The sequence below is a fragment of the Homo sapiens genome, chromosome 10, assembly GCF_000001405.40.
Source record: "Homo sapiens chromosome 10, GRCh38.p14 Primary Assembly".
Lineage (NCBI taxonomy): Eukaryota > Metazoa > Chordata > Mammalia > Primates > Hominidae > Homo > Homo sapiens.
The window spans coordinates 46,003,886-46,030,758 of record NC_000010.11 but is presented as its reverse complement, the minus strand read 5'-3'; the positions used below and the strand labels follow the sequence as shown (position 1 = coordinate 46,030,758).

The following is a 26,873-nucleotide window of genomic DNA, read 5'->3' as shown; positions in this document are numbered from 1 at the left end:
TGCAAGGGCGGGGAGGGAGTGTGCGCCTGCGCTCTGCGCCTCCTAGAGGGCAGTCAAGGGCTTCTGGCTGACCCGAGCGGAGATCTCGCGAGACTGTCAGACGTATGGCGAGAGGTGTGGGAGGAAGATTGTGTTGTCGCGAGAACTCTGCCTTTGGGCCGTAGGTTAGTGTGGGGCCGTGTCTCAGTCCACCCAAGGTCTCCTCGGATCGCCTGGAGAGGCACTCGGACCTGGTAAGAACGCTGTGGGCCGGGTGGAGGCTCGATGACCGCTGGCCCGCTGGGCCCGGGCTTGTCCGCCCCTTCCCGACCCGACCGACACCGGGACCGGTCTGCCTTCTCCTTCCCTTCCCTCCCCTCCACACGCCAGGCCCGGGCACCTCTTCCTGCCTGCCCGCCGGGCCCGGGCCTGTCTTCTCCCCTTCCGGCCACACGCCGGGCCCGGGCCTACGTTCTCGCCTTCCCGCCACACGCCGGGCCCGGGCTTGTCTTTTCCTCCCCGACCCTCCTCGTGCCCGGCCGTGGGCCTGTCCTTTCCTCCCCGACCCTCCTCACACCCGGCTCGGACACCTCCTGCTCCCCGCCGGCCTTCCCCTCTCTTTAGGTGTGACAGCTCCAAGTTTCCTGTTTCTCTCGCCTCTTGCTTGGATGTGGGGCGAGGCGAGGTCTGTTTTGCCGGACGGGCACAGAACATAATCCATTTCTAGCTTGTCAGGTGGAAATGCAAAGAAGATATTGGGTTTTTTTGGCCCTCTGTGTGCCAAACACATACTGTCACATTTAATTCTCCCAATAATCCCGAAAAGTAGCTTGATTATCTCTGTTTTACAGCTGAGAAGAGTAAGGCTTGCTCATTCATTGGTTCATTCCACCAGCAATCATTTATTTGGTGCCTGTATGTTCAGGATGTTGAGGATAGCAATGAAAAAAATGGACACCTAATTCTCATGGAACTAAATTCTTGTTGTGGGGAAAACAATAATCATAATCTTACGTGGCACGGGATTTAACATGGAATGATGCCATCAAGAATGGCAGAAGTAGAATGACAGAAGTCAGAGTGCTGAATTTATCTGACCCCAAAGGCAGAGCTTTTTTACTTTTAACTGTGCCTTTTTGTGTCACTTTCTAATCAGGGTCGGGTTCACCACAGTAATTGCCTTTTGGATGGACTTAGCTTTCCACCACGCACTTGGTAATTTGGAACTAAGTTTATAGAGACTCTTGAGTTACTTATTGGAATGAGGATGGCACAGGAAGTCATAGTTGGCCCATTTTTATACCGAGATCCTAGTGTGACATTTCCAAACTTTAAAGTACTTGAGACCGTTTGAGAAAGACTTACCCTAAGGATGCAGTGGCTTAGGCAATTTACTTGGTTTTCTCATTTGAAGATTTGCTAGCTTGCAGATTTGTTCAGATAAGTAAATGAGATTATGTATGTAAAGTCCAGCACAATAACGTTCCTTTCATTTTCTCCTTTCCTGCCTTCCAGGGAGCCTTTGTCCTTGGGTCTCTAAGGAAAATCCTACTCTTTGAAAGTTTTGTGGTAGTTTTTATCTAAATAAATCTCTACAATTACATTATTACCTTTGTGCAAACAGGCATTTCGGAAATGGAAAAACATGTTGAGCTATGGAAGGGGAGGAAGATGTCCTTCTCAAAGGGAGAGAAGATATTTTAGAACTACATAGTACCCCTCACCCCCCCCTTTTTTTTTTTTTTATTAAATCAGTATAGCTGTGCCAGAATCTCAGGATCCGGTGTAGGGGTTTCATAAAACTCCATAGGATATCCTGACACATATCCCTCCCCCGGTTGAGAGTCCCTAAGTTAGTGTTTTATAATACTTTCCCTCACATAGTGTTAGCATTCAGAGCCAGTCATTGCTGCTGCTGATGGACTTTGAACTCAGTCTCTTATTTCAAAGAATTAGTATTTTCTGCTTGGTTGGTGAATCTATGACACGAGTTCTCCTCTAGGTGGCAAGCTCACCATTGTGTTCTCAGGGACTATCACAGTAGTGTCAGTTTAGGTACTCAATAAATAGTTGTTGGATGAATACATAATACCTTAATACTTAATGATTCCTTCAACATACCAGGTGTGGTTAGGGACTTTGGACTCAGATCTGGGATTAAATCTTGGCTCTTCTACTTGGGAGTTTGTGACTGTAGGTAATATATTTAACCTTGTCAAGTCTGCTTTTTTTTTTTTTTTAATTAATGGTGATGATAATAGCCACTTTAATGAGGGCTAATTGAGATAGTGAGTTTTTTAAAAAAAGGCTCGGCACATAGTAGACTAGATGTAAATACTTACTGAATTCATTTACTCAGTAATTAATTGTTGAACACCTACTATACAACAGTGAACAAAAAGACAAAGTCCCCGCCATGTGGAACTTACCTTCTAGTATGTTTTCTGAAGGGAGATCAGAAAATAAATGGTTGCTACGTGCCAGACTGTGGTTAGTACTATGGAGAGTAATAAAGCATATTAAGGGGGATTGGAGGCAAGACTTTTAAAAATAAAAGATGGTGAGGAATGGCCTCAATGAGAAGATGACCTCTGAGCAGACACCTGAAGGAAGTGAAGGCCTGGGCTCGAGGATACCTGGAGGAAAGCGCAAGGGCCCTGAGGCAGAAGCATCCTTGTTAAGCTAAAGGAGCAGCAGGAGGAGAAGAGTAAGGGTAGAGGGGAAGAGTAGGTAGCAGTCATGAGGTTTCTGCAAGAGTCCTGGAGAGAGATGATGGTAATGAAATTGATGAACTTTATGTCTTTCTTTGTTATATCCTGTTCTTTGACTAAAAGTAATAAAAATAGGTAATACTTCTATAGCTCTTAATGTGCATCAGGCACTATTTTAAGTGCTTTACATATATTAGTCATCAGATCTTTCCAAGAAAGTATACCTAGCCTCAGAAAATGAAGATTTGTCACTCTTTAGGATATACAGTGGAATGTGCTGCTGGTTCAGAGAGCACTTTCTCAAGCAGTACTGAAATCAGCAGTGAATTCACTGCCTCTGTTCACATACTGGTTAGGTTGCAAAGGCAAGCCTAAAGTGTCGATAACAGACCACCCAACCAGTATGTATGCATTGGGTTAAGTTCAGTTTCATGGAAGAACTGTAGAAGGCCATGGCATTTTTTATTACTCTTCTTGCTACTTTTTAGTCCTTTTAAAATTTTCATCCAAGGTTTTCATCTTGACTTTGTTTTCATACAGTTATGTCTGGACACATTGCTTCAACATAGAACGCACATGAACAATGTGGAGGTCTAGGCTGGAATGGGGGCCCAGTTGACCACTTTTGCTCTAGCTGGTAGGCATTAATACTATCTCCATGCATGTCAGTTAGAGGAGCTGCCATATTGTCCTTAGCTTATCTTCTTTGATTGTTAAATCATAACATTGCAATGCTTAACTTCTGATATGAATGACTACAGTCTTAAGTCTTAATCATTCTTTTTTTTTTTTTTTTTTTTGAGACGGAGTCTTGCTCTGTCAGGAGGCTGGAGTGCAGTGGGCGATCTCCGCTCATTGCAAGCTCCGCCTTCCGGGTTCACGCCATTCTTCTGCCTCAGCCTCCCGAGTAGCTGGGACTACAGGCACCCGCCACAACGCCCAGCTAATTTTTTGTGTTTTTTAGTAGAGATGGGGTTTCACCGTGTTAGCCAGGATGGTCTTGATCTCCTGACCTGACCTCGTGATCCGCCCGCCTCGGCCTTCCAAAGTTTTGGGATTACAGGCGTGAGCCACCGCGCCCGGACCACTCTTAGTCATTCTTATCCCAAGTTGTCATCCCTAATTTTGCTTGGCTTGATTAATCAAGATGTTCCTCTTTGGGGTTAGCAGTGTGTTTGGGGGCACCTTTGGGGCTTAATATTCCTCTTATGCAGCATTACCTAAGTGCTCTACAAATATGGCAGTTTGGTTCAGTGAAGTAGTGAGTAGCTCACAAAATAGGTTAAAAGGTTTTGTTGTCAGTTTGGTCATGGGTGAGAAGTTAAGTCTTTTAATACTGAGACAATTTCAGCTTTCAAAAGAAGATAATCTCAGGTGTGTTTTGAGCTTTATTTTGGCATTATTGTTAGTCCTCTAGGCTTTAAAGGAGGGAAAATATTAATATTTTATCACTTGTTGGCTTCTATGGGGAGAACCACAAAGTGTTTGCCATATAAAATCAGGATAAAATGGCATTATTACTGTGATAGTAGGTAAGTTAACATATTTTCCTATCCTTGACTCTATTATGGCAAGAAGTTTCAAGTTGAATATAGTCCCCCCAATATTCAACTTGAAATTCAGTTAGAATTTCTGTGGTACTGCCAACTCTGAAGAAAAAATCCAGAGTTGGCTGTAAAATACAGTAAATGTGTCCCCTTTAACCCACAATCTTGCTGCTATTTGTGTGAATCCATGAAGCTGAGCTTTGTGGTTCTGGCAGCAGGAAAGACACTATCTCAGCACTTATTCTGGGATCATACTTTCAGTGGCAACACCCTTGCCAGCTTTGTCTTGTTTGAAAAAAGCCAAAAGTAATAGTTGTGCTAGAAACATTTTCTTTCTCTGAAAAAACCTTCCTGCATTAATACAGGCCTTAGTGGGACATCAAGTTGATTATCTATGTTTAAAGCAGAACTATACCATACTTACTGTGGCTAGTCTGAACCTAAACATTAATTTATCATATATTCATCCGTTTGTCCAAAATGTCTTAGGCCTCTGTTGAATTTAGGGTGAAGCATTGTACAATTGCCAGGGACATTTTCTCTTTATGTCGATTCAGTGGCACACATAGAATGTGAACGGTTGGTAATGACAAGGTACTGATACCAGGTTGTCTGCTTAGTATTAGGATGTACAAAGCTATTAATTCATAAATAAGACATGGTTTCTTCTCTCATGGAGCCCTCAGGCTAAGGAGGCAGGCATGTAACAATAGGGTAACATATGTTACAGGCGTCCTGCCGGAAACCCATACAGATTACAGTGGTAATGCAGGAGGGAGCAGCCAACTCTATTGGCCAAAAGTATTGAGGAGTGAGGTGCTCAGTCAGGAAAGGCTTTGTAGTTAGTGATGGTGACTTGAAAAGCAGATAGGTAGGGAGAAGAGGAGAGACTGGCATTGCTGACAGAACTGGCATAGCCAAGCTGCACAAGATAAACCAAACTATCCTATGCATAGAAAAGCTGTCCAGTAGATTAGGGTGTGGGAGCTGTTCTGGGAGACAGCAGGAGAGTCAGAGTGAGGCCAGGAAATAGACAGCTGTGATGGTTAATTTTAGGTGTCAACTTGACTGGATTAAGGACATCTAGAAACCTGGTAAAATGTTATTTTGGGGTGTGTCTGTTTCCAGAGGATATTGGGGTGTGAATCCAAGTGGATTAGGTGGGGAAAATCCACCCTCAGTGTGTGTGGGCACCATCCAATCTGCTGGGGCCCAGAGAGAACAAAAACATTGAAAAGGCAGATCTATTTGCTGGAGCTGGGATACATTCTTCCTCTCCTGTCTTTGGACAACAGAACTCCAGGCTCCCCAGGCTTTGGGCTTCAGGACTTGTATCATTGGCCCCCTGGGTTCTCAGGCCTTTGGCTTCAGACTGAGAGTTACACCATCTGCTTTCCTGGTTCTGAGGCCTTTGCACTTGGACTGAGCCATGGTACTGGCATCCCAGGGTCTCCAGCTTGCAGACAGCCTGTCATGGGATGTCTCAGCCTGCTAATCACATGAGCCAGTTCCCCTAATAAATCCCCTCTCATATCTATATCTGTATATATCTTTATGTCTATATCTATGTCTGTCTATATAATGTTCCATCTCTCTGGAGAACCCTAACTCAGGAGCCTTATTGCCTTTAAAAGAAATTTGGACTTTATCCTGTAGGCAAATGGGGAGCCATAGGAGAGCTACGCTGCTTTAGATGAGATGATCTACTTGGGATGGTTGGTTGTTGTTTTGAGACAGCATAGAAATTCTTGAAGCAGAAGAGAGGTAAAATACCTTATGCATTTTTCCCCTTTAGAACCTAAACATTTTATAAAGACACAAGGGCAAATACTGAAGCATAAGGGAGTAAAAAGCTACATGTAAAGTGGTCTGAGTGCAGAATTTTAGATTTTTGTGATTTTCTTTCTCCTTAGTCTTTTTATGTTTATGTAATATTTAATAAATCACATCATTATAGTAACAGCTACAGCTGGCTTGAGGAGAGAAACACAAATGAATATAACTGTGAAACTCAGTGAACATATACATAGGGGAGTAGCTGAAGACTTTACTGTGCTGGGGCGTTGGTCAGGATCTTTTAGAGAGAGAACAGAGACCGTTGGTTAAGTAGGTGACGGCCAACAAAGTTTCTTTGTATTTACATTGTGATCAGCCATTTTTCAGAGGCACATAAAATAGATGAAAGTTCCTGACATGAGTTATATTTTAATAGAATTCCTTCTTTGTTGCCATTGATGTAAATTAGTACAAAGGACCATAAAATTGTAACTTTAGTCATTCAGAAGTATGTCTGTTTTTTTTGTGTCTTTACGAAATGTATTATCCAAGGAGGGCTTTTGGAATTAGGGAGAAATTTTCTTATTTTTGATAATGAATGCCTGGATTGGGGTCCCAGAAATTGTATGCATCACAGACAAAGCAGGCACTTCCACTCTGTTCATCTGAAATCTAAGGGATACTTAATTTAGGGTAATGGCTCCTTAGTGTTCCCCTTTGGTGTTTCTCATGTGATTTTGCTTTACTCTTAATATTAACAAAAACAGCTTTATATGCATAGACAACAGCAAGTATTTTACATTCAAAAAATCGACTGAAAGGTAATAGAATTACAACATTGTCTAGATTTCATCTTTTGGCCTGATTGCATATGCAGGCTATGAGGATTATCTTGGAGAAAAGGGAAAGCTAGAAGTACCATAAGCATGATAGTCACAGGTAGGTAGGGCTATATTGCCAGGCACTGTCCTAAACATTTTAATTCATGTAATTCATTATAGTTCATATATAATTCTCATTGAGTTGGGCCCATTATCGGGTGGAGCAAGTGGGGAGAGGAGAGGCTGGAGAGGAGCCCCAGGTGCCATCCGAGGTCCTTCTAGCTGGCCTTACCCTGGGGGCCGGGCGGGGGCAGCAGGCGTCTAGCAGGGAGGCCCAGCGGGGAGGGAGCTGCAGGGGGGCCGCGAGCGCCAGCGGGGACTGGCTGGGAGCAGGGCAACAATGGGCGGAGTTTTCCGCTCCTCCCCGCCCTTGGCTTGAGCGCTCCAGCTCGCTAGTGGCCCGGGCGAACTGGAGTTGCCGTGTGACGCGTGGGCGGGACGAGGCCCGGGCTCGGGGACCTTTCGCACTCGGGTCAGGGGTAAAGCAGCCTGTCGCTTGCCGGGCAGCTGGTGAGTCGGTGACCTGGCCTGTGAGGTACGTCTGGCAGCCCAGGGGCCGTAGCGGGAGCCCTTGAGGCCGGTAGCCTTGCAGGGCTGGCGCCGGGCAGGAGCCGGGTCGCAGCGGCTGACTGCACAACTGCGTGCGAATCGGCGACCGGGGCGAGGGCAAGGGCTCCTGAGGCCGCTTGGAAAGGGCTTTTGGGAAGTCTAGAAAGCCGCATGAGTCACTGTTGCTTTCGTATTAGAAATGCCTTGTTTTCGAATTAGAAATGCCTTGCGGTCGGTTTTCAGTTACTACTTTAGAAAATTGATGTGCTGGGATTTATTGCCCTCAGTTGCTTGTATAAAGGTGGACAAATCTGAGCCTAGTAAACTCTGAAGTGTTAAATCTTAAAATGTTCAATAGTGAATTTATTATTATCTTATTTTAAATCTGTTGCGATATTAACGTTTGTTTGTGTGGTTTTAAAAAGATTACAGAGAACCAGATTCTGGATTTCAGAAACTGCTTGTCTTGATAAGGAATTTAAAATGGGCTGGGGCTAAGGTAAGATGTATATAATCCTTGAGTTAATGAGTTGTATAAAAAACAACCTTTAGGCCGGGCGCGGTGGCTCACGCTTGTAATCCCAGCACTTTGGGAGGCCGAGGCGGGCGGATCACGAGGTCAGGAGATCGAGACCATCCTGGCTAACACGGTGAAACCCCGTCTCTACTAAAAATACAAAAAAATTAGCCGGGCGTGGCGGCGGGCGCCTGTAGTCAGTCCCAGCTACCTGGGAGGCTGAGACAGGAGAATGGTATGAAGCCGGGAGGTGGAGCTTGCAGTGAGATCGCGCCACTGCACTCCAGCCTGGGCGGCAGAGCTAGACTCCGTCTCAAAACAAAAAAAAAACCCAAAACCAACCTTTAAAAAAAAGACGGAAGAAAGAACGTGTGAAGTGAAAAAAGTCTCAAGGTAAAATTGCAAAATATTTTTTAACATAATTTTTTTAAACTAAAAGCTTTACAGACGGTCTAATGCAGGTTGTCTCATCAAAGATAACCAAATTGTTCAGTTAGTATTTCGAGTGTAGTACTCATAGAACACATAGGTATCCTGTGGATAGATGCTGCGCTTGGCCTTTTAGCAATGACTAGGATGCCAGGCAAATAAGTAAAAAGTAGAGGTCTTTGGAGGGGCAGGGGCAGGTGGCAAGGGGGGCAGAGAATGTGAGAGTTGGAAGGTGAGGTTACAGATGATCTAGTCTGAGCTTTCATTCTTACAGACGAATGAAGCCTGGAGTGGCTGTGATACAGACGTTGAATCAAAACTATTTGCATTGGTATTTGGCAGTGTTTTGGTTTTTCTGAGCCTATCATGACATACAAGGGTACTGTTTATTTATTTATTTATTTATTTTGAGATGGAATTTCGCTCCTGTTGCCCAGGCTGGAGTGCAATGGCTGCGACCTTGGCCCACTGCAACCTCCGCCTCCCAGGTTCAAGCGATTCTCCTGCCTCAGCCTCCCGATTAGCTGGAATTACAGGCATGCGCCACCACGCCCGGCTAATTTTGTATTTTTATTAGAGACAGGGTTTCTCCATGTTGGTCAGGCTGGTCTCGAACTCCTGACCTCAGGTGATCCGCCCACCTTGGCCTCCCAAAGTGCTGGGATTACAGGCGTGAGTCACCGCGCCCGGCCAGTACTATTTTTGTTAGTGTTATCCAAGGCAGAAGATTCTGAACAATTGTGGTTATAATTTACTGAGGACTATGAAAATTGACTGAAAATCTTAACGGAAGTTATTTCAATAGTAATCCATTGGAATGTTAATTTTAATCACTAGTGTTGGCAAGTAAAAATACTTTACAGGTGATAATACACTAAAGGAAGAACAAGCTCATCTGGGAGAGAGAACCCAGGACTAGACCTTGGAAACTGTAGTTCTAAACCCAAATCTTACCCCTTCTGGCTGTGGCCCTTCAGATGGGTCACTTAAACTATCTGGGCTTTTGTGGCTTCATATGTAGAATGAGAGTGTTATATTAAAGAGATGACCAAGATTTTTTCCAGCTTTATTTTTTATTTTTTTAAAGAGGCTTGTGAGGAGCTATTTTTCAGCTTTAAATTGTAGTTTGTGTGGGTCACAAGAGTTAAAGCTCTTTGGAAATTTTATGGTTAAGCCATACAGTAATGACTTAGCTTCATTACATAACCACTTCATTTGTGGTTAGTTGCTCAATTCTGGTGCCATGATCTTCAGACTTCACAAATAGATTTGTGCAAAGCATTGTGTAAGCATGGCATATATAGTTTAAAGAATTCCTTGTTGCGGAAACTCCAGGTTTTGTTATTCGTTTGAAGGGTATGTGTGTTTCCTCCTCCTTTACTTCCTCCACCCCCAAATTTAGGACAGGGATACTAGAGGCAGGGAAGTTTTAGAAAGCACTTAAACTTTTAATGTTGTCTCAAAACATAAACATTTAAGGCAGTCCTCTTTTGAAGATGGCAAGGCAATATTTTGGATTATAATGGTGAAGATAAAAAGACATTTTTAGTAATCTTTTATTGATTTGAATATTAGGATCAGAGCTGATTTGGTCCAATCTTTCTACACGTAAGAAAACAGTCAAAAATATCCATACTTGGTATATATTAGAGGATTTAGACTATTGAGTTTTTGGAGTAAATAAAAGATTGCCTTTTGCTGTGCTGTATAGTGAAAGACTAGATGGAAATCTAATATTTATTAAATAAGCACGACCTCCTTACCCCTAAGTCTGTGAGTCTATATTCCTCACATATGAATTAGGAAGTTAGGTTCCACAAGGGCAAATGGTGCAAGGTCATAGCCCTGATAAATGGCTAAAGGATTCTGTCAGGTCCTGTTCACAGCCTGTCAGCTAAACCTGATAACAATAACCACTGCAATGTGGAGGGCTTACGGTGTGCAGGTGCTAGGCTAAGTGCCGGTAGACATATAATATCTCACTTTAACCTTACTGCAGCCCCTCTGTAGCAACCATCCTTGTCTCCCTTTTTCCTGAGGAAGTTGAGGCCCAGAGAGATTATGTTACTAGCTCAGGGGTCTCAAGCTTGGAGACACAGCCATAACTCAGGTTTGTCAGACTCCAGAGTGACCTCTTAACGGTCATGCTTGCTACTCTGGCTCTTGAACCTGAAACAAATGGTGAATAACTGTTGAAAATGGCCATGTGAACTAGTTACCTCATACAAGTCTCTTTGGATGTAACATTTCGTACAGCTGGCTTAGGCTCATTGTGATTTGAATTCACCCATGGTTGGGGCTCTTCATTTCCGCTCTGAAGGCTTCCTCTTCATCACAGTGCAAGAGGGCAAGCCTTTGCATAGCTCCTTTCTTGGCATCTGGGCTCTGAAAGCTGACAGTGCTCTAACTGCGCCACAGGGAGGAGGAGGGACAGAGAGAGCCAAAGGCAGCAAAGGGGCAAGCATCCTGGGACTTACCATAAAGAAATGAAACAGATTTTCTTCGTGGCTGACAGATGAGTTCTCAAGATGACTTTTGAAGGATAACACTCCTTTTAATTTGAAAAAAATGTGATAACTGTGTGTGGAAAAATCAGTTTTGTAACTTTTAAATCTCATCCTACATTCTGTCTATAGCTGATAAGGGCAAAGTCCAATGTGTGAACTCTTGCTGTAGTCTACTCTTATTGTGTAATATTAATACTTGTGATTGAATTGAGAGGACTTGCTTTAGGAATCTAGTAATACAGTCAGCACTGTATGTATTTGAGTTTGTCTCCCGTATGTTCCGGAATTCTGGAGTTTTGACATTGTGAAGCAACAATTTAATTTTATTGATTCAATTTTACACTGTGCCAGGCATTGTGGCATTCCACACAAATGGTGAGAAGCTAAAAGTGAGAAATTTGGCACAGGTGAAGAAGGCTGGGTAACACATTTGAAAGACTGCTAAACAGGTCTTGCATGACTGGCCTAAGTGCAAAGTGAAGCAGCCCATCACGCTCCAGCTCTCCAAATCGGAGCCGGCATTTCACCCATGTGATACAGGTATTTTTCATAGTCCCTGCAGTGAGTTCCAAGTGCACACTAATGCTTCTGCCTAACACAGGCAGCTTATGGCATGCAAAAGGAGGCTGCAAAGTAACCACTGTTGGTGTGTCCAGGGTTAGAAAAATTTCCACAGGGATTTCTGTGAAATCCAATTAAGGCAGCCCTTTCTTTTTAATAGATGATTATGGAGAAAAGAGACTGACGAAACAAAATCAGCAAGGGGAAGTTAAAAAATTTCCTGAATTGTTCAGTTTCTTGTGGAAACTCTAGTTCCTGAATCTGAGTCTTTTGCTGAGATAGTGTACAGAAAGTTTGTTTTGCTGCTCTTCCCACTTCCCTCAGAATACATTATTTCTGAGGGAAGAACTCACCACTTTTGTCTCTAGCCAGCTTTCAGTTAGGCACCTGGCCCTAAACTTAGTCTTAAAGATGCAGTCAAGGCCTGGCAAAGTTCCTTTGTCTGAAATGGGCAGTCAAGCCACTTGGAGGACTCTACACTGGGTAGGCCACTTTTCACCCCAAAGCTGGCTTCTCCAAGAAAGTCATTGCTTTCAGGACTGTTAGGAAGTTATTTGATATATTGCCTAACATGCCTCCTATTAATGTTTTTTACCCCCTTGTGTCTGTTCCAAACAAATTTAGTTCTTCTAGTTGACAGGTCTCCACATACTTGAGAATGGTAATCATGTCCTCCTGGAGACGTCTCTTATCTAGGCTAAACAGCCTTCCTTCCTGGAGAAGTGTTTCATGGTTTTGAGGCCTCTCTCCCTTTTCTAAGTGTCCTCTTCTAAAGTGTGTTACTCAGAAATAAGTTTTGAATTTAGTCTAATAAACATGGAACAGGCTAATCCTGTGACAAACACTATACTTTTGGTAAATGTAGTCAAATAGTGTGTAAGTTATTTTTTCCCACAGACCCAGCACACTGCGAATTCATAGAGAATTTACTTTCGGTTAAAAATTTCCACCCTTTAAAAAGGAATTATTCTCTTCCTTGCCCTCCCTAATTAAAGTGAAAAAACTTACATTTTGTTTTGTAAAATTGAACAGCTATGTAGAGATTGTTTTGGGATCTGTTTCTGTCACAGCCCCATGTTACCTCCAGCTTTAATGTTTGTCTTGTGTGTTTTCATACAGGTAATTAGGAAAAACAGGGATGTGCCTCTCAAAACTTTACAAACTGGCCTTAGTCTGTCATCCTTTGAGTATTTTGTAAAAAATAATCTTATTATTCAGTTTAATTGTGCTTCTCTTTAGCTAATATTCACTTTTTCCACAGTGATAACATATAGTCTTGCCACAAGTCTTCTGTCATCCCTTTGTGTCTACAGCATTACCTTGACTTGCCAGTTTAGTAAAACAATCCAAAAGGAAATAACTGGTATCACAAGGCTTAGTGAACCTATTCTGAGCTCTAGTAATCACTGCTGTCATTTTCTCAGTGTTTAAAAATCATGTCATTGTTCTTGCAGTAGCTTTTGTCAAGTTTTACGTTATGGCTTTACTGACACTCATGTGTTACAGTCTCATTTTATCATTATATGCTGTTCTTCCCATTTGTGTTTCCTTTCGCTCCTAAACCCAAGCTTCTTAGAGAACTCTGTATTTACCCACACCAATTTCTGTGTCTCCTTTATATGAGAATCATGAAATCATTTTGTCACATATAATCTGTTACATATAATGCACATTCTTTTATATATTATATATTACATATATTCTCTCTATATAAAACATGTATCTCTATATCTGTTATATTCTTTTTTGTTGTTGTTTTGAGACAGAGTTTCACCCTCTTACCCAGGGTGGAGTGCAGGTGCAATCACGGCTCACTGCAGCTGCGAACTCCTGGGCTCAGGTGATCTTCCCATCTCAGCCTGCCAAGTAGCTGGGACTACAGATGCACACCACCACATGTGGCTAATTTTTATATTTTGTAGAGACGGGGTCTGGCTATTTTGCCCAGGCTGGTCCCGAACTCCTGGAATCAAGTGATCCACCCACCTTGGCCTCCCAAAGTACTAGAATTACAGGTGTGAGCCACCGTGCCCGGCCCTATGTTATATTTTTGAGAACTTCCTAGCTGTGAAGTCATTCTTAAGTTCTTCCTAAATAAAAAAAAAAGTTCTACCTAAAAGGGGGAAATTAAAAATTCCGTCTTCTAAACAAAGTGTTCTAAACTTGATTGTTTGCAGCTTATTTTGAAAGTAATCAAAGATCCTTCTGTACCTTTTAGTCTTCATCTCTAAATCTACAAAGAGGAACACATGCCTCATATGACTATATGTGTGTTATAAATAGAAAATGATATTCTAATGTTCTTTTAACTTTTCAGGACACTGTATGCTCTTTGATTCAGGACAATTAGTGTATTTTTCCAGAAATAGCTATTCACATGTAAAGTGTCACTAAAGTAGATTATAGAGTTTTATGGCAGGAACAGTGGTAGAGGGAAGGGAGGAGACAATATTTATTAAGAGTATCTTATGTGCTAGGTTTGGTGTTGGAAAGTAATCTAAGTAGTTAGTAATGGGAGTTGGCTGGAATGATCATTTGAGGGATGATTCAAAGGTGGTTTTTGGTTGTAATTATGGTGCTATTTATATATATTTTTTTCTTTTAAAGGAGCAGTGAGGAGAATGAATACCTTCCAAGACCAGAGTGGCAGCTCCAGTAATAGAGAACCCCTTTTGAGGTGTAGTGATGCACGGAGGGACTTGGAGCTTGCTATTGGTGGAGTTCTCCGGGCTGAACAGCAAATTAAAGATAACTTGCGAGAGGTGTGACATGTGCTTTTCTCTTCTGTTGTCTGGACTCTTGACACAGGGCTGATTTGAGCATGGCCAAGGACTTGGTCTCTCCGTGCCAGCAAAAAATTTCACCCCATGCCTTGCGTGGTCTACTTGGTCCCCGTCAGTTGCCTGATATACTGGTGCCTTTCATCCCAAGGGGAAATAAGGCAGATGCTAGAAGAGTCTGGAAAACCCTGTGCCATTCTAGAAAATTCTATTCAGCTTACTTAGATTACTAACTACTTAGATTTTTGATTACTCCTCTGTGTGATTCCTCAGGCACTGTGACCAGTAAAAATATGAAATGAGTGAGCAGTATCCTCTCAGCTGCATCCTCTTGATTGCATGAAGGATGCACTTGAGCATCCTCCCCATCATCTTTTAGCTGGTTAATGGCATTGTTCTGTAAATGACTATCTGTTAGGGCAAGCCAGAGTGAAATCTGTTGTTGGTTCCAGTAGTATTTTGTTGTTGTGTGTGTTAGACCAAGTATTACATGACTTTGAAACACAACTTTATTAAACAGAAAAAAATGTGTTTTAAAATACAGTTTCTTATGTATATTGTCACGGATAATTTATGGCCTGTTTTGACTTTTTCCCTTGGGATTTTTATATTTAGCCCTGTTTGAATCACTGTTTATGCTTCCAGAAATATTAGTTTATAATTTTACTTAAATTGTCTACCCTAATGGTCTTTTAGCTGTTGACATGTGGTGGCACATCTCTTTACTAAATTGGCCTCCTGTAAATGGACCGCTCATTCTGTGGGGTGAGAAAAGAGATAAGGGGCTAGCTATTAAGTTAATACTCTGTCTTTATTCTGCTGATAAACTTGTAAAACCGTAGGTTTTTAAATTATGTGGAAAACTGAGGGGGTCAGTATTTCCTGGTACATTCTTGTATTTTCTCTTGATTAGGACACCCAAATTAAACCTAATCCTCTTAGAAGGCTGGGTATTGAAGAAGGATTTTAGAGTTTAGGTATGCCTTTATGGCTAGGATTCTTAAATTGGGGTCCATAGGGCTTTAGTGGGTCCTTGGGTGGGCTTTGGAACACTAAACCCTGAAATTATAGGTAAAATCTTGAAAATATACATTTTTTCTGGGGAGATACTTCATAGATGTCATTGGATAATTAAAAGGATTTGTGGTCCCCCCAACCCCACCCCCCCAAAAAAAGTTTTAGAAACTCACTATTCTTTGGGAAACATCATTCTTTGGGATTAACACTAGGAAGCTAACATGTATGTGTTTCCTAGGTCAAAGCTCAGATTCACAGTTGCATAAGCCGTCACCTGGAATGTCTTAGAAGCCGTGAGGTATGGCTGTATGAACAGGTGGACCTTATTTATCAGCTTAAAGAGGAGACACTTCAACAGCAGGCTCAGCAGCTCTACTCGGTAAGGTGACTGCATGGCTAGAATTGGTTTGAGCATGGCTTCTGGTTGCCAGAGAGTATCTTCCTTGTAATGCAGTGTTAATATAGATCAGATAGAAGTTTAATCTCAAGTGCTGTTTGGTAACTTGAGTATATCTGGTGCTTTTGGTGTCATTGTGGCTAGTTGGTTTCATTTTTCTTTTAGTTATTGGGCCAGTTCAATTGTCTTACTCATCAACTGGAGTGTACCCAAAACAAAGATCTAGCCAATCAAGTCTCTGTGTGCCTGGAGAGGTAATGACCCTTTTTGCGTATTTTAACTTTTGACTCTTGAACTTTGGTATACTAAAAGAAAGTCGATTTTGTAACTCATTGCTTGTGTTATATTTAACTTCTGTGTTGCTAGGATAAGATCATTCTGCTTCATGTATTTAATATTATACTTGCTGATACATGAATAAGCCATCTATCTTTGGTTGAGTTTCTTAGAGAAGTGTAATCATTTAAAATTACTCACAATTTGGCTTTTGTTTTAGATGAAGTTGATGAAACAGATATTCCTTAAAAATAGCCAATTTTGTTTTTTTTTCCCCAGACTGGGCAGTTTGACCCTTAAGCCTGAAGATTCAACTGTCCTGCTCTTTGAAGCTGACACAATTACTCTGCGCCAGACCATCACCACATTTGGGTCTCTCAAAACCATTGTGAGTAATCTCATATGCTTCACTGGGCACTTCTCATATCTGTGGCCTCACAGCTGGTCTTAAAAAAAATTGCTATGAATAGTGACTTTCTTGAGAATTTGATTAGCTTCAAAAATTTCATGTTCTCAGCTGGGCGTGGTGGCTCACGCCTGTAATCCTAGCACTTTGGGAGGCCGAGGAGGGCGGATCACTTGAGGTCAGAAGTTCAAGACCAGCCTGGCCAACATGGTGAAAACCCATCTCTATTAAAAATACAAAAAAATTAGCTGGGCGCCTATAATCCCAGCTACTTGGAAGGCTGAGGCAGGAGGATCGCTTCAAGCTGGGAGGCGGAGGTTGCAGTGACCTGAGATCGTGCCACTGCATTCCAACCTGGGCGACAAACAGTGAGACTCCGCCTAAAAAAAAAAAAATTCATATTCTGATTAAGTTGCCTAGGTTGGTAGTTCTTGGAATGTAGTACAGACTCAGTGATACTCTTTGGAATGCCTCATGTATCTCTCTAAATACTTTTGAAATATTTTTTGTAAAATTTATGGCTTGAATAGTTTTTAATAAAGAACGAAACGTTTGGGTCTTGTTAAAAGTGGTAATACAACCAATTCTGGTAAAGATTTTTTATATAATAGTTATGTGGTAGAGTATTCTCAAATTTGATAACTACTTTGTAAGTCATGGAATTTAGTGTGAACAGTATTTCTAATGAAATGGTAATGCTTTAACATTTTTGAAATTTGGAATTATAATTTCACTTTTTTGGCAGCATAGCATAAATAACATGATTAAATTATCTCTATTTTGTAGCAAATTCCTGAGCACTTGATGGCTCATGCTAGTTCAGCAAATATTGGGCCCTTCCTGGAGAAGAGAGGCTGTATCTCCATGCCAGAGCAGGTAAAATATCATTTTGTTTTTGGTAATTGAGTCATTACTTGGCTTATACTTCCTTTGGGTTTTATATAGCATTAAAAAAATGCTACTATTTGTAAAAAGGCACCAGTGGCAATGAGTTAGTTTATGAAATTGAATGCTTCCCTTGAGACCTAATGCCAAATAGAAATTTAGATGTCTTGTCGGGGCTGATTAACAGAAAAAGTAATTATCAATCAGTTCACAGGAAATTATCATTAGCTGTCTTACTGATACTGGTTCTCTGTGAGCGATCCTCTTTATAATTTGTAGAGATGATTTATTTCTAAAGGAATGGCAATGTGAATAAAGGTTTCTATATGTTTTAGTTGAGAAGAGCCCTAGAGATCAGCTGTGTGTCTCTTGTTTTATAATTGTGAAAATTGAGGCTCTTGGAAGGCACATGATTTGCCCAGGGTCAGTGGCAAGCCAAGATTAGAGAGTGGCTCTTCTCTTTTTCTGGTGAACTTTCTACTGCATTTGACATTCCTTGTTTTGTGATTAACAGAAGTCAGCATCCGGTATTGTAGCTGTCCCTTTCAGCGAATGGCTCCTTGGAAGCAAACCTGCCAGTGGTTATCAAGCTCCTTACATACCCAGCACCGACCCCCAGGACTGGCTTACCCAAAAGCAGACCTTGGAGAACAGTCAGGTCTGTTGCTGCTTTTATTGTTTCTACAGTAGACACAGCAGTAGGTGGAGTTAGTTACTAATCAGTAGTACTATGTGTCATTGTTAACTTTTTGGTTGCAGTCTGGAAACATATTTATTAATAGTCTCTTCATCATAGAAAGTTTAGAAAATAAGGAACTCTTTATCATAGAAAATTTTAAAAATAAAGAATTTTATATTAAAAAAGCCCACAAACCCATAATCTCAACACAAAGAGAAAAACACTGTAACAATAAAAGTGAAGTATTTATATACTTCAGTTTTCTATACATACATATTTTAAAAGAACCATTCTGTAAGTCCTGTTTCGGTAGGTAGATTTTTTTTTTCACCAGGATAACATTAACATATTTCTCTGTCATTTAATTTCTTCTGTAAAGTATTTAGTAGTATATAATTGATTGGCTGTAATTTAAATTCAAGTTTTTCTGGATATAAAAAAGGATTCCCTAAACATCCAGGAGCCAATTATTTGTGTGCATTCTTGATTAGTTCCTTAGGAGTACATTTATAGAAATTGCATTCCTAGATTATAATTCTGCTTACGCTTTAAGACTTTGGATACATATTGCCAATTTGGCTTCCCAGGAAGTTGCCAACAGTTTATAGTCTCACCAGCAGAATATTCAGGGTACCTGCTTCCCTGAAACCTAAGAGTAATAGTCATTTAGGTTTTTTGCTCTGAATTTGACACAAAATAGCAATTTTGCTTTTGTTTTTTCTTCCATTAGTAAGGAGGTTGAGTATTTTCTTTTTTCGTTTTTTTTTTTTTTTTTTTTTTTTTTTTTTTTTCTTTCTTTTTGAGACCGAGTCTTGCTCTGTCTCCCAGGCTGGAGTGTAGTAGTGGGATCTCGGCTCACTGCAAGCTCCGTCCTGCGGGTTCATGCCATTCTCCTGCCTCAGCCTCCTGAGTAGCTGGGATTACAGGCGCTTGCCACCACACCCTGCTAATTTTTTGCATATTTTTTATTTTTTAGTAGATACGGGGTTTCACCCGTGTTAGCCAGGATGGTCTCTATCTGACCTTGTGATCTGCCTGCCTCGGCCTCCCAAAGTGCTGGGATTACAGGCGTGAACCACCGTACCCGGCCAAGTATTTTCATGTTTATTAGGCTTCTTTGATGACTTGCCTGATCATATCCTTTGCTTATTTTTTGTGCTTTATTTGTAAAGGCATATTACACCCTTTTCTATCAGATAAGAGTATCTAAATAGAGAAATCCCTTGCCTTTTGGCTTTGTGTACTTAAATTTCAAAACACTGGGCAAGACAGTAAATATGCAGACAGGGCCGGGCGTGGTGGCTCACGCCTGTAATCCCAGTACTTTGGGAGGCTGAGGTGGGCGGATCACGAGGTCAGGAGATCGAGACCATCCTGGCTAACACGGTGAAACCCCGTCTCTACTAAAAATACAAAAAAAAAAAAAATTAGCTGGGCGTGGTGGTGGGCGCCTATAGTCCCAGCTACTCGGAAGGCTGAGGCAGGAGAATGGCGTGAAGCTGGGAGGCAGAGCTTGCAGTGAGCTGAGATTGTGCCACCGCACTCCAGCCTGGGCGACAGAGTGAGACTGTCTCAAAAAAAGAAAAAGTGCAGACAGAATCTCCAAAGCAGTCATAATTGTTCTGGCAAACTAATACTGTGTACTTTTTGTGTAGACTTCTTCCAGAGCCTGCAATTTCTTCAATAATGTCGGGGGAAACCTAAAGGGCTTAGAAAACTGGCTCCTCAAGAGTGAAAAATCAAGTTATCAAAAGTGTAACAGCCATTCCACTACTAGTTCTTTCTCCATTGAAATGGAAAAGGTTGGAGATCAAGAGCTTCCTGATCAAGATGAGATGGACCTATCAGATTGGCTAGTGACTCCCCAGGAATCCCATAAGCTGCGGAAGCCTGAGAATGGCAGTCGTGAAACCAGTGAGAAGTTTAAGCTCTTATTCCAGTCCTATAATGTGAATGATTGGCTTGTCAAGACTGACTCCTGTACCAACTGTCAGGGAAACCAGCCCAAAGGTGTGGAGATTGAAAACCTGGGCAATCTGAAGTGCCTGAATGACCACTTGGAGGCCAAGAAACCATTGTCCACCCCCAGCATGGTTACAGAGGATTGGCTTGTCCAGAACCATCAGGACCCATGTAAGGTAGAGGAGGTGTGCAGAGCCAATGAGCCCTGCACAAGCTTTGCAGAGTGTGTGTGTGATGAGAATTGTGAGAAGGAGGCTCTGTATAAGTGGCTTCTGAAGAAAGAAGGAAAGGATAAAAATGGGATGCCTGTGGAACCCAAACCTGAGCCTGAGAAGCATAAAGATTCCCTGAATATGTGGCTCTGTCCTAGAAAAGAAGTAATAGAACAAACTAAAGCACCAAAGGCAATGACTCCTTCTAGAATTGCTGATTCCTTCCAAGTCATAAAGAACAGCCCCTTGTCGGAGTGGCTTATCAGGCCCCCATACAAAGAAGGAAGTCCCAAGGAAGTGCCTGGTACTGAAGACAGAGCTGGCAAACAGAAGTTTAAAAGCCCCATGAATACTTCCTGGTGTTCCTTTAACACAGCTGACTGGGTCCTGCCAGGAAAGAAGATGGGCAACCTCAGCCAGTTATCTTCTGGAGAAGACAAGTGGCTGCTTCGAAAGAAGGCCCAGGTGAGCATAAACATCAAAATAGCACTGGTTTGAGTTTTATTTATTTATTCATTTATTTTGAGATGGGGTCTCTGTCACTCAGGCTGGAGTGCAGTGGTGCGATCTCAGCTCATTGCAACCTCCCCTTCCGAGGCTCCAGCCATCCCCCTGCCCGCACTACAGCCTCCTGAGTAGCTGGGACCATAGGTGTGCACCACCATGCCTGGCTAATTTTTTGTATTTTTGGTAGAGATGGGGTTTTGGCCTGGGCTGGTCTCTGAACTCCTGAGCTTAAGCGATCTGCCCGTCTTGGTCTCCTAAACTGCTGGGATTACAGGCGTGATCCACCACACCCAGCCTAGAGTTTCATATTTCATAATCCCAAACCTTGCAAACCGGCCAGCCAGATCCTTAAATATGTTAAATACTAAATTTGGAATGGAGGATTTATGATTTTTTTGTGCATTTTCCAGGCCTAAGCCCCATCCTTCAGGAAAGAAAAGAATCTAGCCTGTTTTATTGCTATTTATGGAAAATATTTGGGGTAGAAATAACAATTGTCACCTTTGTTTTTGGTTGTTACAGAGAATGGCCAACATTTAAATTATTCTCTGTAGACCCTATTTGGAAGATAAGTTGGTCTCATGCCTCCTTGTTTTCATGAAGCAACCTACTCTTTTCTTTTATTGCAGGAAGTATTACTTAATTCACCTCTACAGGAGGAACATAACTTCCCCCCAGACCATTATGGCCTCCCTGCAGTTTGTGATCTCTTTGCCTGTATGCAGCTTAAAGTTGATAAAGAGAAGTGGTTATATCGAACTCCTCTACAGGTGGGTACATGCCACCAGCATGAAAATTAGATTATAGCTATTTATAAAATAAATGTTTTGTCTTACATATGAAGTCATACTTGGCTCACTGAACCATATCCCTTTTAATAGTATGTATATTAGGCAAGTGAGGGTGGGACGGGGGAGCTCATAAAAAGTTGATGTATTTTAATTGAATTTGCTTTATTAACTAACTAGGCATACTTCAAAATGAACTTTCAAGATGTAACCGTTGGGAATTTTCAGATCCCATGTGGATTCTAGTAGTTTATATACCTACCTCGAAGGTGGGTTTGGTTCCAGGCCACTGCAATAAAGCAAATATCCCAATAAAGAGAGCTACACAAATACTTTGGTTTCCCATTGCATATAAAAGTTGTATATAATACACTATAGTTAAGTCTGCAATAACATTATGTCTTAAGAAGAAACCAATGTACATACCTCAATTAAAAAGTATTTTATTACTACAAAATGCTGATGGTCATCTGAGCCATTAACACATAATCGTTTTGCTGTTGGAGGTTCTTGCCTTGATGTTGATTACTGCTGACTGATTAGGATGGTAGCTGCTTGAAGGTTGGGATGGCTCTGTCAGTTTCTTTAAATAAGATAATGAAGTTTGCTGCATCGATTGACTTTTCCTTTCACGAAATATTTCTAACATGTGATGCTGTGTGATAGCATTTTATCCACAGTAGAACTTTCAAAATTGGAGTCAAACCATGTTGCTGCTTTATCCACTAAGTTTATTTAATATTCTAAATCCTTTGTTGTCACTTCAACAATACACAGCATCTTCTCCAGGAGTAGATTCTATCTCAAGAAATCACTTTCTTTGCTCATCCGTAAGAAGCAACTGCTCATCCGTTTAAGTTTGATCATGAGATTGCAGCAATTCAGTCACATATTCAGGCTCCACTTCTAATTCTACTTCTCTTGCTGTTTCCACCACATCTGCAGTTACTTCCTCCACTGAAGTCCTGAGTTCCTCCAAGCCATCCATGAGGGTGGGAATCCGTTTCTTCCAAACTCCTGTTAATGTTGATATTTTGACTTCCTCTCATGAATCATGAATGATCTTAGTGGCACCCAGAATGGTGAATCCTTTCCAGGTTTTCAGTTTACTTTGCCCAGATCTATCAGAGGAACCTAGGTAGCTAGGGCCTTAAAAAATGTATTTCTTAAATAATACTTGAAAGTTGAAATTACTCTTTGATCCATAGGCTGCAGAATGGATGTTTTATTAGCAAACATGAAAACATTAATCTCCTTCTGCATCTCCATCAGAGCTTTTGGGTGACCAAGTGCACTGTCAATGGGTGTAGTATTTTGAAAGGAATGTTTTTTTCTGAGCAGTAGTTCTCAACAGAGGGCTTAAAATATTCAGTAAACCATGCTGTGAACAGGTGCGCTGTCATCCAAGCTTTGTTGTTCCATTTCTAGAGCACAGGCAGAGTAGATTTAGCATAATTCTCAAGGGCTCTAGGATTGAAGCACTGGCTTCAACTTAGCCACCAGTGGCCAGGTGCAGTGGCTCAGGCCTGCAATTCCAGCACTTTGGGAGGCAGAGGTAGGAAGATTGCTTGAGCCAAGGAGTTTAACACCAGCCTGGGCAACATACAGAGACCCTGTCTGTACAAAAATTAACAAATTAGCTGGGTATGGTGGAGCGTGCTATAGTCCCAGCTACTCAGGAGGCTGAGGTGGGAGAATCTTGTGTCTGGGAGGTCAAGGCTGCAGTGTGCTATAATAGCTCTGCTGCGGTCTTGCCTGGTTGACAGAGGGAGACCCTGTCTCAAAAAAAAAAAAAAAAAAAAAAAAAAAAAGAGTCACTGGCTGTGTTAGTCCCTAACAAGAGAGTCCATCTGTCCTTTGAAGCCAGGCATTCACTTATCTCTCTAGCTATCAGTTCTAGATGACTACTTCTTCCAATAGGAAGTTGTTTTGTCTGCACTGAAAATGTTGAGTGTAGCCAACTTCATTTACGATCTTGGCTAGATATTCTGGATAACTTGCTACTTCACCTTGCATTTTTGCTATGGAGATGGCTTCTTTCCTTAAACCTCATGAACCAACCACTGCTAGCTTCAAACATGACTTCTGGTTCCTGACCTCTCTCAGCCTTCATAAAATTGAAGAGAATTAGGGCCTTACTCTGGGGTTACGCTTTGGCCTAAGGGAATGTTGTGGCTAGTTTGATCTCCTATAGAGACCACTAAAACTTTCTCCATATCAGAAATAAGGCTGTTTGCTTTTTAAATTATTCATCTGTTCACTGGAGTAGCACCTCTAGTTTTTTTCAAGAACTTTTCAGCCAGAGAATGAGAAGCTGAAAAACAACAAAAAACTTTGCTTTTGTGCTCACAGCTTGGCTGGTCCAAAAGGCCTGCCCAGCTTTCAGCCTCTCGTGGCCTTCAACATGACTTTCTCGCTAAGTTTAATCATTTCTGGCTTTTGATTTAAAGAAGAGTGAGAGATGGGGACTATTCCTTTTAGTTGAACACTTAGATGCAATTGTAGGGTTAATAATTGGCCTAATTTCAATCTTGTTTTGTCTCAGGGAACAGGGAGGCCTGAGGAGAGAGAAGAGAAATAGGGAAAGGCTGTTTGGTGGGCATTCAGGACATTTATTGATGAAAAGTTTACCATCTTTAATGGGCATAGTTCATGACACAAATGCTTAATTTGTAAAAAATACAATGTAACAAGGGTATACCTGTATTGGGAAATGAGTCGGAGCTTTAAGGCAGGGAAAATTTGCTTTTATTCTTCATTGAAGTAACTTATCATCTGTGGGTGTCTCTTTACAGATGTGAAGGAATGGACAAGAGTTGAGCAGCCTTTCTGCTGATTATCACACATCATGAGCTGAGTGACTGCAGCTTGCCAAATCTTTGTGTTTCTGGGTCTGACCAATTAGCTTAGTTCTTCTCCTGCCTAATTTTGAACTAGTAAAGCAAAGTGAGTCATCAGATTATGAGTTACTGTTTAAAAGAAAAATGCTGTTTATTCATGCTGAGGTGATTCAGTTCCCTCCTTCTTACAGAAGTATTTTAATTCACCCCACACTAGAAATGCAGCATCTTTGTGGACGTCTTTTTCACAAGCCTCCAAGGCTCCTTAGATTGGGTCGTTACTAAAAGTACATTAAAACACTCTTGTTTATCGAAGTATATTGATGTATTCTAAAGCTAGTAAACTTCCCTAACGTTTAATTGCCCTACAGATGCTTCTCTTGCTGTGGGTTTTCTTTTGTTAGTGGTCTGAAATAATTATTTTCCTGTTCTATTAATACATAGTGTATTTTGCACAAAAAAATTAACCTGGTCAATAGTGATTACCAAAATATATATTAATAATCTTGGCAATTTTTGACATTAATTATGAAACATTTTAGCCCACGTTAGTTCTACATTATTCTTCACTTAAACTCAGCTACTGCAAATTTTGTCTTTCTGTAAATGTTATTAAAATATCCAGTGAGCTCTTTAGAAGGACTCAGTATTATTTCAAGACTATTTTTGAGGTAATTCTAGCCTTTTAAAATATTCTACAGACCTACGGGGCTTAAAAGAACCCCAGTACCGACTAAGCAAATAGGCAAAAGACATGTTGGAAATGTAGTATAGTACTTGAAACAGTCACTATCATAGGGATAATTGGTGCATCCTGTGTAAATGGAAGCTGAGCTTGACACCTGGTGCTTTTAAGTAGGGATAAAGTCATCCTCTCACTGCAAGCACAGCATACCTGTACCTCCAAAAGTGACGTTTTAGTGAACAGGCCGTTTTCAACACTTGTGCCTTGGGGTGTTCATTGAAGCTTTGTGAAAACTACTGATGTTTTCTCAGTCTCCTTAAAGTTACGTCCATGCTTTAAAATGTCTGTGTAGGAGAGAAGTGGGGTTTATAATGTTTTCTCTAAGATATCTTTGCTGCTTTCCAGACTTTGAAACTATTAAGCTTCTTAACTGCCTCTTACCGGAAATACTTCTGGGGAAACTTCATGGTCCCAAAATGTCATTGCCATACAGCTTCACTAGAGTTCTTTGAACCACAGCTGAAAAGAGCTTTGTATTATTTTTTAATTCCCTCCCCAGATATCATTTAGGAGTATTATATAAAGGTGGTGGGCAAAAACAATGTAAGGAGCCTTTCCAGTTATCTTGAGTTGCAGCTCTGTAGTTTCTTGAGGCCAAACACACTGTATTTTACAAGTCAAAATATAATTTACATTAATCACTATGTTAATGAGTATGTAAAACATTCTTTTGCATTGATGAATTTTGTATCTGCTTCCATTAAAAGCATAACAGCCATAGTTGTTGCGTGTTATTTTTAAAACTATTTGTCACAAAGTGTGGTGTGGTACCACATAACGTGGTAACTTTTGGTTAGTAATCCAGCTGAGAAACAGCTTGAACATAAAAATAACATCAGTGTATTTTATGAAAAATTAGCAAACAATAGGTATATTAACCTCCATTTTCAGTCTTTTATAAAAACTATTCACATCTATTAAAAAAAAACCTATGGGACTTCAGCCAAGATTCAGTGCCTTTCTACTGGATTCCTCTTACTAGATGCATCCGAAGAGGCCCTAGTTTACTTTCTCCAATCATATAGCCACCAGGTATTTAATACAGTAATATTTATGTGTATAACCTGTAGTGCAATTATACATGATTAACTTCATATGGTGGATGAGAAAACAAACTCAGAAATTAAACAATTTGGCCTCATGTCCTTTAGTTTTCCCAAGGCTTCCTTGAAAAACATCTAGCTCTTGGCCAGGCACGGTCGCTCACGCCTGTAATCCCAGCACTCTGGGAGGCTAAGGCAGGTGGATCACCTGAGGTCAGGAGTTCGAGACCACCCTGACCAACATAGTAAACCCCGCCTCTACTAAAAATACAAAAATTAGCTGGGCATGGTGGCAAGTGCCTGTAATCCCAGCTACTTGGGAGACTGAGGCAGAATTACTTGAACCCGGGAGGTGTTCAAGTAATCTCAGCAGTGCGCTGAGATTGTACCACCGCACTCCAGCCTGGGGAACAGAGACCCTGTCTCAAAAAAAAAAAAAAAAAAAACCTAGCTCTTAATTATTCCTAGTAAGGTGTGAGTTAATATGTATGGAATGAAGCAGGATTGTTGGAAAGATTGTTCTAGCATACTAGTCTAACGGCTGACCTGAAATACCTTGAGGTGGTTTAGTACCAGCTCTATTGGTGAATGCCACCAGTAGCTCATTTCTTTTTTTGAAATGGAGTCTCACTCTGTCACCTGGGCTGGAGTGCAGTGGCATGATCTGGGCTCACTGCAACCTCCGCCTCCTGGGTTCAAGCGATTCTCCAGCCTCAACCTCCTGAGTAGCTGGGGTTACAGGTGCACACCCACCACACCCAGCTGATTTTTGTATTTTTAGTAGAGACAAGGTTTCACCATATTGGCCAGGCTGATTTTCAAACTCCTGACCTCAGGTGATCCACCTGCCTTGGCCTCCCAAAGTACAGGGATTACAGG

At 41.4% G+C, this 26,873-nt stretch overlaps 1 protein-coding gene across 5 annotated transcripts, besides 6 other annotated features; it reads left to right on the top strand.

Annotated features, from left to right (window-relative positions):
- Positions 91–160: an enhancer, noted in NCBI's record as "active region_3324". NCBI's record gives its function as "activates an Ori minimal core promoter by ATAC-STARR-seq in GM12878 lymphoblastoid cells {active_cell/tissue: GM12878}" and the evidence as "EXISTENCE:reporter gene assay evidence [ECO:0000049][PMID:35858748]".
- On the top strand, positions 136–25,671 carry NCOA4 (nuclear receptor coactivator 4). 5 transcript variants are annotated; one of them, NM_001145260.2, is made up of 12 exons: positions 136–233; positions 3,231–3,327; positions 14,065–14,219; positions 15,493–15,633; positions 15,817–15,905; positions 16,207–16,315; positions 17,120–17,209; positions 17,733–17,876; positions 19,553–20,536; positions 21,208–21,348; positions 21,547–21,635; positions 24,162–25,671. In NM_001145260.2, the coding sequence occupies exons 2-11, from the start codon at positions 3,294–3,296 to the stop codon at positions 21,610–21,612; spliced, it is 1,953 nt and encodes a 650-aa protein (NP_001138732.1). In that variant the 5' UTR covers positions 136–233; positions 3,231–3,293; the 3' UTR covers positions 21,613–21,635; positions 24,162–25,671. The 5 variants fall into 5 exon arrangements, with proteins under 5 accessions (NP_001138732.1, NP_001138733.1, NP_001138735.1 ...); NM_001145261.2 differs by lacking the exon at positions 21,547–21,635; NM_001145263.2 differs by lacking the exons at positions 3,231–3,327; positions 21,547–21,635.
- Positions 521–610: a silencer, noted in NCBI's record as "silent region_2350". NCBI's record gives its function as "represses an Ori minimal core promoter by ATAC-STARR-seq in GM12878 lymphoblastoid cells {active_cell/tissue: GM12878}" and the evidence as "EXISTENCE:reporter gene assay evidence [ECO:0000049][PMID:35858748]".
- Positions 7,126–7,295: a silencer, noted in NCBI's record as "silent region_2349". NCBI's record gives its function as "represses an Ori minimal core promoter by ATAC-STARR-seq in GM12878 lymphoblastoid cells {active_cell/tissue: GM12878}" and the evidence as "EXISTENCE:reporter gene assay evidence [ECO:0000049][PMID:35858748]".
- Positions 7,126–7,440: a biological region, named in NCBI's record as "Sharpr-MPRA regulatory region 5969".
- Positions 7,146–7,440: an enhancer, noted in NCBI's record as "tiled region #5969; K562 Activating DNase unmatched - State 1:Tss". NCBI's record gives its function as "activates a minimal TATA promoter and a strong SV40 promoter by Sharpr-MPRA in K562 cells {active_cell/tissue: K562}" and the evidence as "EXISTENCE:reporter gene assay evidence [ECO:0000049][PMID:27701403]".
- Positions 8,967–9,162: a silencer, noted in NCBI's record as "fragment chr10:51574030-51574225 (GRCh37/hg19 assembly coordinates)". NCBI's record gives its function as "represses an EF-1alpha promoter that drives an FKBP-Casp9 reporter gene in an ReSE screen in K562 erythroleukemia cells {active_cell/tissue: K562}" and the evidence as "EXISTENCE:reporter gene assay evidence [ECO:0000049][PMID:32094911]".